This window comes from Homo sapiens, chromosome 2 (assembly GCF_000001405.40).
Source record: "Homo sapiens chromosome 2, GRCh38.p14 Primary Assembly".
In the NCBI taxonomy this organism is placed as follows: Eukaryota; Metazoa; Chordata; class Mammalia; order Primates; family Hominidae; genus Homo; species Homo sapiens.
The window spans coordinates 98,827,383-98,839,417 of NC_000002.12; the positions used below are offsets into that span (position 1 = coordinate 98,827,383).

The 12,035-nt window shown below is 45.6% G+C and overlaps 1 protein-coding gene across 11 annotated transcripts in view, besides 1 other annotated feature; it reads right to left on the reverse strand.

Annotated features, from left to right (window-relative positions):
- The window catches only part of CRACDL (CRACD like), a 142,380-nt gene that overhangs the window by 33,537 nt on the left and 96,808 nt on the right, over positions 1 to 12,035 (reverse strand). For 9 of the 11 annotated variants that reach the window (NM_207362.3, XM_005263926.4, XM_017003972.2 and 6 more), the window contains 3 exons: positions 10,737 to 10,905; positions 5,480 to 5,615; positions 4,966 to 5,130 (listed from right to left, as the gene is read on the reverse strand). In NM_207362.3, coding sequence (NP_997245.2) covers positions 4,966 to 5,130; positions 5,480 to 5,615; positions 10,737 to 10,905 — 470 coding nt within the window. Of the gene's footprint in view, positions 1 to 1,208; positions 4,933 to 4,965; positions 5,131 to 5,479; positions 5,616 to 10,736; positions 10,906 to 12,035 lie in introns of those variants that run through there. The other 2 variants (XM_011511096.1, XM_047444123.1) reach the window with 2 other exon arrangements.
- Positions 9,764 to 10,058: a silencer, noted in NCBI's record as "tiled region #14605; K562 Repressive non-DNase unmatched - State 13:Ctcf". NCBI's record gives its function as "represses a minimal TATA promoter and a strong SV40 promoter by Sharpr-MPRA in K562 cells {active_cell/tissue: K562}" and the evidence as "EXISTENCE:reporter gene assay evidence [ECO:0000049][PMID:27701403]".

Here is a 12,035-nt window from a genome sequence, read left to right on the forward strand (position 1 = left end):
ACCTCTGCCACCTGAGTTCAATCATTCTCCTGCCAAGTAGCTGGTATTACAGGCACCTGCCACCACACCCAGCTAATTTTTGTATTTTTAGTAGAGACAGGGTTTCACCATGTTGGCCAGGCTGGTCTTAAACTCCTGACCTTGTGATCCGCCCGCCTTGGCCTCCCAAAGTGCTGGGATTACAGGTGTGAGCCACCGCACCCGGCCAATACTTTCAATTTGATTCTCAACAAGGAGGGGTCTAGGATCCTTCTGGAGAAAGGTAAATGGCTGGGAGTTTAAAGTGTGGGGCCAGCTCCTGGAAACCAGCTACTCTTTCCCAAGACCATGCAGAGAACCTGTGTCTCAGGCTCCCCTGTCACCCTCCCATGGTGGCTGGCACAGGCACTTCAGACAAGAGCTTTCTCTCTCAAAACACACCAGCCTGATTTGTCCAAGGGCACAGTCACCTGGTCCTGTCTCTGGAAGCTGAGGGGAAGGTTCAGAGGTGTGACTTTAGAGGCTGGGGCGCAGGAAGTGCAAAGCCCACTGCCCAGTATTCCATCACTGGAGCCCTGTTGGTTCAACCTAGAAGGTCTCTGTGTGCTCATGTATCCTTTTGAAGAAATCTGGCTGGACATTGCCATCTGTTAAGTTACAGGTATTTTACTCATTTATACTTCAGCACGGAAGAACTGATAGCAAATGGCAAACATGTCACCTGGGACAAAGGGATGCTGGCAGTCATGTGAAAGAATGAAGGCAATACCCGCAGATCCCTGCCCCCGAACTTGGCCAGCTCCACCACTGAGTGAGGTCGAAGTGGGCTCCCCTGCAGACACAAGTTGGGATGAAACTCGGAGCGCCTGTGAGCACATGCAGCCCAGATGAGGGGCGAGGTGCACAGGGAGACTCTAGGAGGTGACAGGCTTTTCGTATAACTCTGTGATCTTCAAGCAAGCCTTCTATTCGAGCACGGTGTGCAATATTAGTGTCAAGTTTCCATTTAACTTAAGAATAGAGTTTTATTCACACAACAATTCAGTAAGCCCTCATGAAAACAGTGAATGAGGCAATGAGACAACACACCAGTGCCGTCCCCAGTGGCGAACTCCTAGGGTCATGGGCACATCCGCTGTTTCTTTTCTAATAACCCTGGGACCCCCACACAGAGCAGGTGCCCAGCAGCCTTTGCTAACCCGGACAGGGAACCATAAGGATGATCGTACTGGTGAGATGGGCTTCGATACGGGAGGAACAACCTCTTCTTGTTCATGTGAAGGTCTCTCCTATTTTCCAATAAAAGTGTAAGTTTATCTGTGTAAACAAGGAGGAGATAATTACTAAAATGGGGGAAAGGGGGCTAAAAGTGGACATAATCTATTTGAATTCTCTTTTAGCTACTCAGGTACTTACGGGAATAAAGCAATAAAAATTATGTTAAAAATAAGCCGCAAGTCTCCTGGCAACAAGTACATCTGTGCCTGTGGCTTTGGCTCTCACTGTGGTCACTGACAACTCAGGAAGTCACCTTAGATTGGGAAATCGATACCTTTCCCAGAGAGTCTTCCTTAAAGGTCACAAACAGGATGTGTACATTTAAAAATAAGCATACAGAATCTGTAATATTTACCCTTGTCTAGAGGAACAATGTATAAACATTTGGTTAAAAAGAAAATCTCACTGCCTAGGACTCATGAGAATAGACAAGATCAGCTGCTTTGCAAGTGCAGTAAGAATGATCACGGTGCCTGTGACAATAATACCCCTGACCACTCCTCTTTATAGAATAAAGCCCAATACCCTGAAGGCTCTGAAGGATGCACAGCAGGACCTCCTCCCTGTGGGCCGCCCTGCGTCTGTCCTGCTTGGGCAGATGTCTTGGGCTCAGGCCCACTGTGGCCCCTGGTTAGGGGACCTTGGCATGGAGCTTAACTTCCCTGACCTGTGCCCCAGGTACAAGCTCTCCCTAACTAGGGAACTCAACTCCTCTGGCCTCAGAACTCTCACTTCTGTTTCCACTGTTGCTCTGAGAGATCTTGGGGTCCAGAAAGACCCTCATCTTCATGACCAAGGAGAATTGTGTCTGTTGTTGATCAGTGATGTAACTACGTGAGGTGGTTTGGGGCCCATGGGGAGGAGGTGAGGGCTGGGAAGCTGGCTTCATGGGAGGGCTGGCAGCATCCAGAACATTCAGCTCTGCATGGCTTGCTTCCAGTCACCCAATTTTTCCTAAAATCTGTGATTCTGGATGATTCTGAAAGCAGAGGATTTAAAAGTCTAGCATGTGTCTCTCTGTTGCAGGGAAGGCAGCTCAAAGGACCCAAAGGAAACAGCTGGGGTCAGAAGCTTTTCATGGGCGGCCCTGAGTGACAGGTGCTTTAGGATGTGTGTCCTCAAAAAGAGGGGCTCAGCCGCTGAGGAGTGGGCTGGGGGCAGTGCATGCAGGAAGGACCACTGGACAGGAAGCAGGGGGGCCTGGCTGTTCGAGGGGTGAAAAGAAGCCGCTGGTCCTGCTGGGAAGGAGAGGTGCTGATCTACCCAATCTCATCTCATCCCCCCAAAACCCTCTGAGCCAAAACCCTCTCAGGACACAGATTCTAAGAGGTGATAAGCCTGCCTGAGGCCTCCCTCCGGAGCTGTGGGGCATGTATTTGTTCATTTGCCACCAGATCTGTGTTCCCTCCCCATCTTCCCTTCCCGCATCACCAAGGAGCAAAATGACTCATTGGCCTTGCCAGTTTATCACACTCTACCTGGCATGTCCTGCTTCATAGCAGGACAACTAGAATATGACCAGTTAGACATCATTTTATCTTAAAAACCACCAGGTAAACTTTCATCAGTTGTTATCACACTTGGTGATAAAATTTGAAAAATTATTCCATATATTTCCTGAAAAACTTATTCTATCAGGAAATGTCACCTTGGTTATAACATCAAATACTTGGTACTAAAGACTCTTTTTTCCACAATAATCTTAAAGTTTTCTGTCTATGTGGGCCTGTGTGTAAGCCTGTGGGTCAGTGTAAGGTATAAACAGTCTGCAGCCCATACTTTTGGGGCTTAAGGCACTATTACATCAAATACCACATATTCTACAAGCCCATTTTAAAGGGTGTGTTGTTTTTCCCTCTTAATCAACCAATTATGCATAAAAACTTTCAGGCCTCAAAATGCAATCATTGTGTCTTCAAAACGATGAAGACACTAAAGATTACCTTTCTGTTTTTAAGTCTTAAAAGCCCAAATTTTGGTTTCCTATGAAGCTGGTAGATTGTCCATATTACCCAATAATTGATAAAATCTCAGAACTTTTTTTTTTTAAATAAAGGACCAACCACAGGAGGTGGTTGTGCTGTGAGAGATAAAGTCAGGCTGGCCCAGCCGAGCCAGCTGTGGAATTTGTGCCTCATAGTGTCACATGGGTTTGGAGATAGGCTTGCTCTTCAATGGATGGGTTAGAAACTACCTCTCCTCTTACTGCCCGTCCTGGCTAAAGGCAGAGAACTGGGATGCTGTGAGAGTCAGAGACCTGTGGGATGGGAGGAGGGGGAGTCCATCTATGATGAGGAAAGAGGCAGCTCATGACAGACCTCTTCCTACTGCATAGCTCAGAAATACACTAAGTCACATCTGCTCCTGAGAGGGGGACGCTGAAACTGCACACAGGAGTATTTGGAGGTGTTAAAAGGGGTACAGGGTTGGCTCGGTGAAGTCTATGAAATAGGCCACCCCATCCTCCTCATCCTTTCTCCCTTCTGCTCGAGGCTGGAGAGCAGGCCTGGGTAGCCCACTGTCCTCAGACCCTGCTCCTGGAATGAGCAGGGACAGCTTCGCCCCAGAGCAGAATTCTGGAGAGAATAATTCTCTAGCCGGCTTCATGTCAGTCCCCACCCCACACACTCAGCCACACCACAGTCCTTTTGCCTTTTTCATCAGTGACGTTCGGGGAACTCACAACTACACACAAAAATTTGGTGTGGCAGGGTGTATAGGTGTCCACACTGAAGTGGCTTCTGAACACAATTCAGAGAAGCACAGAATCTGCAAGGCAGTGAGTCGCAACGAAGCTCCCCCTTCACTGTGAATGGCCCCTCGAGCAGGCCAGAGGTGACAGGGGAAGGTGTGTGGCTATAAAAAATAAACTCTGGCCTTTATTTGTTTTTCAAATGTCAGCATAACAGATAACTCCAACTCTATCCATCCTCCACAGTCAGGCTTGTCTACATGGGAAGGATGACCACCTATTTTTAACATTTATGTGCAAGTACAGTGTATGGGCATTAAGTGTTCTTACCACAATAACATAAAGAATTTAAAATGTGGCAGCATCGCGAGCTATGTTGTTTATGCACGAGAAAGAGCTCGTGCTCTTTTCCGAGTTCCTCGGGGCCCCCCTCTTGGATTCTAATGGAGAAGGTGGTGTTTGGGACTGGTTCCTCCACCCTGCTGAGGTCATCAGTTCCTCTCTTGCTTGTCAACCTTTCCCTGCTGCCCTGTTTGCCAGCAATACAGCACATTACTACCCCTAGGCCAACACCACCTCAAGGTCACAAACTCAGGCACCGGAGACCATCAGAGCCTCAACTATCACATGCTCACTACTTCCCCCTCCCACCGGCCAAATGTCATGGCAACGGAAAACAGATACAACGTGTTTCCCTACTTCTAATGGGGTTCTGGGTCTGGTCATCTGCTCAGACAGGAAAGTCAAGGGACAGGGTTGATTCTGGGTTGATTCTATCAACCTATCACCCTCATTAAAAAAAGTCACCAAAACCACGTCTCCTAACCAGACCTGAATTTCTACTCAAAGAATGAAAATAAACACAGCTCAAGGGCTGATTGTAGGCTCCAGTGACCCAGTTGGCCACACCATGCACAGCCTGGAGATCTTAGGGGCACACACAGGGGATCTCAGAGCTCCAGCACCCTCCAGGGCAGGTGTGGATGAAGACATGCAGTGGTACAGGCCGCACTTGCCTTTATGGTGGTACCAGGACCCACGTCGTGCAGCAGAGACATCTCTGGGGGGCTCCTGGGCAGCCCGTCGTCCTCAGAGCTCATGCCGGCATCCTCTCCCCGCTTGGCAGGAAGCCCCCCTGGAGGAGGTGGTGGCCCCATTTTCACATTACACTGTATTTTTAACTAGATTGGAATAAAGAACATGTGCTCTTATTTTCATCAATGATATTTATCAACAAATCCTCCTGCTCTAATTCATTCATGCTGGAAATGCCTTCAGTATCTTGGTGTGGTGCAGAGAACTGAACTGAACGTGCATCTGCCACCAGCTCTTCCACTGCCATCTCTTCTTTGTTCATCTAAGAATGAGTCGAGATCCCACTGCAGCTCATTTGGTGTGTCCTGGGGGAGCTGTCATGTACATGTGATTCTACTTTACAGCATATCAAATAAACCAAGCAGAAATCATTTAAAAACTTCTTGATGGATATTTGACTTGCACACCAGGCGACATGACCAAGGAAACATTTACCTGCAGAGCTTTAATCCGATCACACACATTTTCTTGGGAAAACACCCGCACAGGCCGAGTAGCGTCCTGTCCGGACTCAGGAATGAAAATACTGTCGTGAGAAAGGGCCCGGCTGCCCAGCGTGCCCCTCGACTCCCTAGGATAAAAGAGCCACTGTGAGACTCTGCCCACCTCCATCTTACTGACCCCTGGGGGGCTCAGAATGAGAAAGAGGGATGTGAGTGAACAGAACATCAAACAACACTCCCTCTGCTGCATTTACATTTCAGTGGTCCCTGACTTCAGTTCATCCACACGCTGTCAAATGCCAGTCAACTATTTGGAGCATTGCAGAGATAGGAATTTTCCTAGGAGATCTAAAGGTTGTGTGAATTATTTTTGTATTAATGAAAAAACCAAGGTTTGATAAGGTGTGAGGTGCAAGACAGCAAGCCTGCAGAGGGGAGGGGCTGGCACGGCCAGCTTCTGAGGAGGCCTGTCCCGGCTGCCCCAGGGAGGGTGAGGTCACGCCTTGTGGGCAAACATGCAGGCCCTCCGTGGGCTGAAGGCTGTGTGTGCAGCAGGCTGAGGGCCTGCTTGATGAACGCATCCTCACACACACCTCACACAGACCAAGACATACATCCGTGGGTGGTTTGAAATGAGAACTGCAAATCTGCAAAGCCATGGCCTCTTTTTATGACCTGGCACCATCTGTGTGACCAAAACCTCTGTGCCTGCCTAGATCCTGGAGCAGAGATGGTGGCCTTCTGTCATCGCCATCCCAGTCCTTTCCTCAGCTCTGAACTCAAGAATCTGATCTGGGACTGAACCCCCAGGACATTCACAAAATGTCCTAAAAGGATGTGGGAATTAGCTGTCAAGTTTTCCTAGCAGCACTGGCTGCCTGAACAATAGGTGGAAGGAGATGACTGAGATCTGATGATGAAGGAAGGAAAGCCTGCCTCTGCACACACTGGACATCTTGTGTGCACCACCCCACCCACTTCCCTCCTGCCACTCCCCTACCCTGGGCATCCTGTCCACTGTGGGGCATTAAGGACTCTGAGGTGTGGCCCTGTCCAACTGTAGATCAAACTGTGTTGGCTAATAATGCTTCCTTCTAATTAAACTCTCACGCCTGCAACAGTAAGCTTGCAAGTGGGAACCCATGGCTCCCAGGATGTGTGTGTCCTCACATGCCAGGGAGGGAACTACGCCAACTGAAGGAATCAGGACCTCCCTGCCAAGGGCAGCTCTTAACCCAAAGGTCACACACACACTTGGATATCCCTCCCCCAGTGGACAGCCCATGGCCCACACTCTCTGGGAACCACAACCACCACCCAAGCACCTCCGCTTTGGATGTAATGAGGAGTGGAGGCAGCATAAAGAGGCCTCTGCAAAAACACAAAATGGCACATGTGCAAGGCCATTCACTACAGCAATATTCAAAAGAGTGAAAGATGGGAAACACCTAGTGCCCCTCAGTAGGCATCTAACTGAATCAACCATGAATGTCATACAATGGAGGACTCCACAGCTGGTCTGATGGGCAGGAAGGTCTCTACACGCTGCATGCAGGCATCACCAGATACTACTAAGTGCAATAAATAACAACCACTGCAGAACAATGTTCACAGCATGTCAGCACTGCATGGGAAAGGGGGGCCTGGATATTATCTGAACATGTGTGTGTGTTTCTTATATTTTAAAAAAATGAAAATAGAAGAATAAATAACAAATAAATAAAAGTGGTTTTCTTTGGGGGAAAGAAATAACTAGATGAGGAGACATAGTGCAAAGATACCTACATTGACAACTTTGTCTTTGAAACTATGCAAACGTTTTATATAATTAAAAGATGAAACCAAACAAAAAGAGAAATAAAACAATCTCTAAAACTAGAAAACAAACACAAACAAATAAATCTAATTTTATATCAGATTGTTGGCATGACCACACAGAGAATATAATAATTTCAAGTGACTTTGACTCCACATCCAAGATAGAATACATTCTAGGAACAACAACAAGAAAACCAAAGATATCAAATTGCACTCACTAATCTTATTAGTAGTAATAATAATTAAAAAACCAAAAATATGAAATTGCACTCTGTAGTTTTATTAGCAATAACACTGATTATAAGACAGTGTGCAGAAAAGTATTTATAATATTTTTAACTTCCATATAGGGAAGGGATAAGGAAATTATTATAAATATATGATAGGTTAAAGAAAATAAGTCATTTTGTTAATATCATAAGGAGCCCTGGTTTCAAGTGTAAGAGAAAAGAGAATACAAAGAATTAAAGAAGTAAAAATGTTGTTTTATTAAACTTGAATTGGAAATATCAGCAAATTAATGGTTAATTTTTCTCTTGAAAAATAAACCATTTCCTAGCTATATCCACTGGAAAGGTTTAGAATCAGTGACAGCCAATTAGTAATCATCGCCCCTGGCAGCTGGACTGAGGTCTTTAAAAGCCATTTCACACCACAAGGAGGGAGCCAGGGTCCTGTCAAGAAAGTGCTGATTCCAGGTCAGGGGAAGAAAATATACCAAATAAACCTGAGATTTCTCATTGGACAAGAAAGTAAGGAAGCCATCAAAGATGAATGGGGTCATGTCAAAAGACGGAGCGAATTTCAAGTGACTCTCAACAGCCTAAGATGGAACAACTTGAGCATTAAAATGAATAAAGACTGTCATGGATTAAAGCAAATCAAATATATAAAAAGTAATGCATTCCCAATGATATTTGGAAAAAAAAAGAAAAAAACAAAACCCACTGGCCACTGTCAGGAGTTGCTAGGGGGCCACGTCATTACTCTGAGGGTGGATCAATAAAAGGAGAGCCAAGCATGATCCTGACTTTACAAATTGTATTTCGGAGCAACCAAGCAATTGATGAAGGAAAGTTCTTCATCAAAGAATTTCAGTTAGCAAGTGTACAGTGAATGATAGAATTAGAAAAACCACCACTTTGTGACAAAATAACAGATCATCACCAGGTGTTAAAACTGTCAGGTGAAGGTTGGTGGAGGGACGACAGTGACACACCCTGAACCCACTGCTCAGAAAGCAGGTGACTCATCATGGGATGTGACAACAACCAGCACCTGCTTGAACCTGACAGAATCTGGATCCATCGAATGATGTACCGGGAATTGGGAGAATATAGGAAAGAGTTGAGTCACACCAAGAGAAAGCAAAGCCAGAATATGGGACATTCTGCAGGACACATGGCCCTGCTCTTCCTTCAGATCAATGACGTGAAACAAAGGGAGAGGGCAAAAGGAAATCGTTATAGATTAACAGACTTAAGAAGCACAACCGCACAGACACAGACACGATAAATGGGCGTCACTTTATTCAACCCACAGGGTCCCATGTGGTTTGCTCGCACTAATGTGCCTTAGTAAATGGAGCTGTTTTCCCCACAGTGATGGATGAGAAGTTGCCGCAGACTCTCCCACAGGCCAAGCAGTACTTGCCTCTTCCTCTGTGCTGCTCTCTAAAAATGTCATTTGCACTTCCCAGGCCTCATCATGCTCCATTCCCAATCTTCCTTGCCTAGCATCAAAACCAGCAAACTGTTACCAGTCACTGAGGGCCAGCTCCCTGCAAGGTGCTGGGAATATCAAGATAAAAAGCACACCGTCTCCACTTTCCATGGGCTCCTGTGACAGGGAGGACATCAGCAAGCGGACAGGACAATTCATCCCAGCTTGCCCCTCTGGCTGGGCTCCTGTCTGTGGTTGGAGGGGCCACTCCCAGGCCTGTCTCTCCAACACCAGAACTGTGTGCTCCAGTCAAGAGACAGGGGTGGATGGGGGTGGGTGTTAGAGTTTCCCTGGGGCTTGCAAAGTGATGACATTGAATAATTAGTAATATTATCGCGATAACATCTCGTTCCCCAAGAGTTCAGAGAACCGCCTAAAAAAAATGCATGCACGCCGGGCGCCGTGGATCACGCCTGTAATCCCAGCACTTTGGGAGGCCGAGGCGGGCGGATCGCGAGGTCAGGAAATCGAGACCATCCTGGCTAACACGGTGAAATCCCGTCTCTGCTGAAAATACAAAAAAAATTTAGCCAGGCGTGGTGGCGGGTGCCTGTAGTCCCAGCTACTCGGGAGGCTGAGGCAGGAGGATGGCGTGAACCCGGGAGGCGCAGCTTGCAGTGAGCCAAGATCGCGCCACCGCACTCCAGCCTGGGCGACAGAGCGAGACTCCGTCTCAAAAAAAAAAAAAAAATGCATGCACAGTATATCCCTTCCACACTTCACATGGTGCAATGTGAGTCTATTACATTCCCTGCTAGCACCAAAAACAATCAAAACCTAAATCAAACCCAAAACTGAAAAAAAAAAAAAAAAAAGGTTCCAATCTTTCCTTTCCAGTCATCTGGTGCCACCAAGTGGCCAGCAAAATTTCTACTCCTTTAAAAAACAGGCAAGGAGGCTGGGGAGGGGCGAGAGCAAGAGAGGGGACAGGACACCACTATTGGGATGCTCAAGCCTGGGACCCATCTCAGCGTGGTCTGTACCCCAAACCTGAGGGATATTATGTTCTCTGAAGAGTTCTATCCTTAAAGGGCCAGCGTTGTCTTAAAAAAAAAAAGGTAAAAGCTAGCATAGCAACAAATCTGTTTCGTTTCCTCTTAGTCACAGGAATAACTGCTAGAATAACTGCAGCATATGTACTGTAACTATATTTTAATGAAACACAAGTTACAAAAATAAGGATTTCTTTACTAGACCTCCCCAGTTTTTTGTGCTTATTGGGTCTGTTCTTTATGATATTTTTGGATGATTTTTTTTCTAAGATAGCAAGGAGCGCCCCCTCCCCACCCCCATCAAGTGAAAATATTCTGATTAGATTACTTAACGTTCAACTTTAGAGAAATGCATTTTTCTAATATAGCATCTAGGTCCTCAAAAGAGTTTTAAGTCAAGTTAAACCAGGGCCCCTATCCTGATCCTGTCACTTTCAGCTGTAGGATGTTGGGCAAGTTCTAAATTTTATCTAGGGCTTATTTTGTCCGTTTATAAAATGGCATATAGTACCTCCTCTCCCACAGTTATTGTGGACTTAAACACACACAGCATTCTCCATCCCTAGGTTTGAAAAGACAGAAAACACAACTTCTATGGAAGAACCTCTAATGGAATTACCCAGGAGGAAAGGGGGCTCAGAAATCCAGCAAGTTACCAGGATAATGAAATCATGTATTTAGGTGCTCCTGGCCCGAGGGATGTAAAATGCAACTTACTCCAGCTCATCCTCGGAGTCGTAGCCCACTGGCCCGGATTCGATGGCAATGACCTCATTCCTCGTCTGACTTTGTTTCCAGGTGCTACTTCCTGTGGACGACGGCGATTCTTTTCTCTTCTTCTTCCCAAAAAACTTCTTAAAAGTTTTGAATTTAGATTTTTTCTTTCCTATACAGATTAGAGAAAAAAATAATAAATAAGACTGTTACAGTGTGTGTTTATGTGCATGTATGCAACAGGCACGTAAAAGAGAGAAAGCAAGATTTCCATCCATGCATCAGTTATCTGCTTCTGAAAAGTCCTTTTACTTCGCAAAAGTACATGGTATACCAGTTTTGCATACCTGAAAACACATCTTGTTTCTTTTTATTTAGGATATTTAAATAAAAGACACAAGAACACTTTGGAAGATGATCACAGAATCAAAATTAGCAACTTTCCTCTCATGTATAATCAAGTTTTGATTTCTAAAATATATTTGAGGCTGCAGTGAGCTATGATTGCACCGCTACACTCCAGCCTTAGTGACAGAGCAAGACCCTCTCTCAAAAAAAATAAAATAAAATAAAAATTATGAATTGCTTTGTCTAGTGTGAATACAGCATCAAGGACAATCAGAGGAGGCCCAACCTCATGGGCAAGAAGGTGGGTCTGTGGGGCACCAACTGCATGATGAGCTAATGACTTTTGGTGAGAAAAACAATGAGACTGGTCATCCCTGCAGGGGAGGGGTGTGGCCAGGCTGAGCCCAACTCTGCCATGCTTCCTGGATTATTAGAATTCACCACACTTTTCAACATTTTGTGATTGCTCCTCTGGTGACAGCTTCATTCTCTCCCATGAATTCTATCATACCCAGGTTTCCATGATTTCACATTAGTTGCTCAGCAAAGTTCATTCCTTTCCCGGAATAGTTACAGAACTGACAGTGGAGGGATGCAGCATCGTAGACTACCAGGATGCTGTCTAATACATCCTGAAAATTTGCACAATTTATTACTTTTTATAATAATTTAATAAACTGAATTCCTTAAAAAACCCAGGATCTTTCTGTTGTGTTTATATTATTGCCTCCTTGGGAAGCTTACATGGTCTTACTCTCATGGGGAGAATTACTTAGGATTACTTTAGTAGGAGTTCCTACATCATTACAGGTAGAACAAATCCCTCTCCAAGGATAAGTCAGTTCTACAGCACCTTCTAGTTTTCTCACCTTCTAGTGTGGAAGTGTTCTCAACTTTATAATCGTAAAAAATGTTTATGTTGTTAGTAGATGGTTCTCAATGAGCATTTATGAT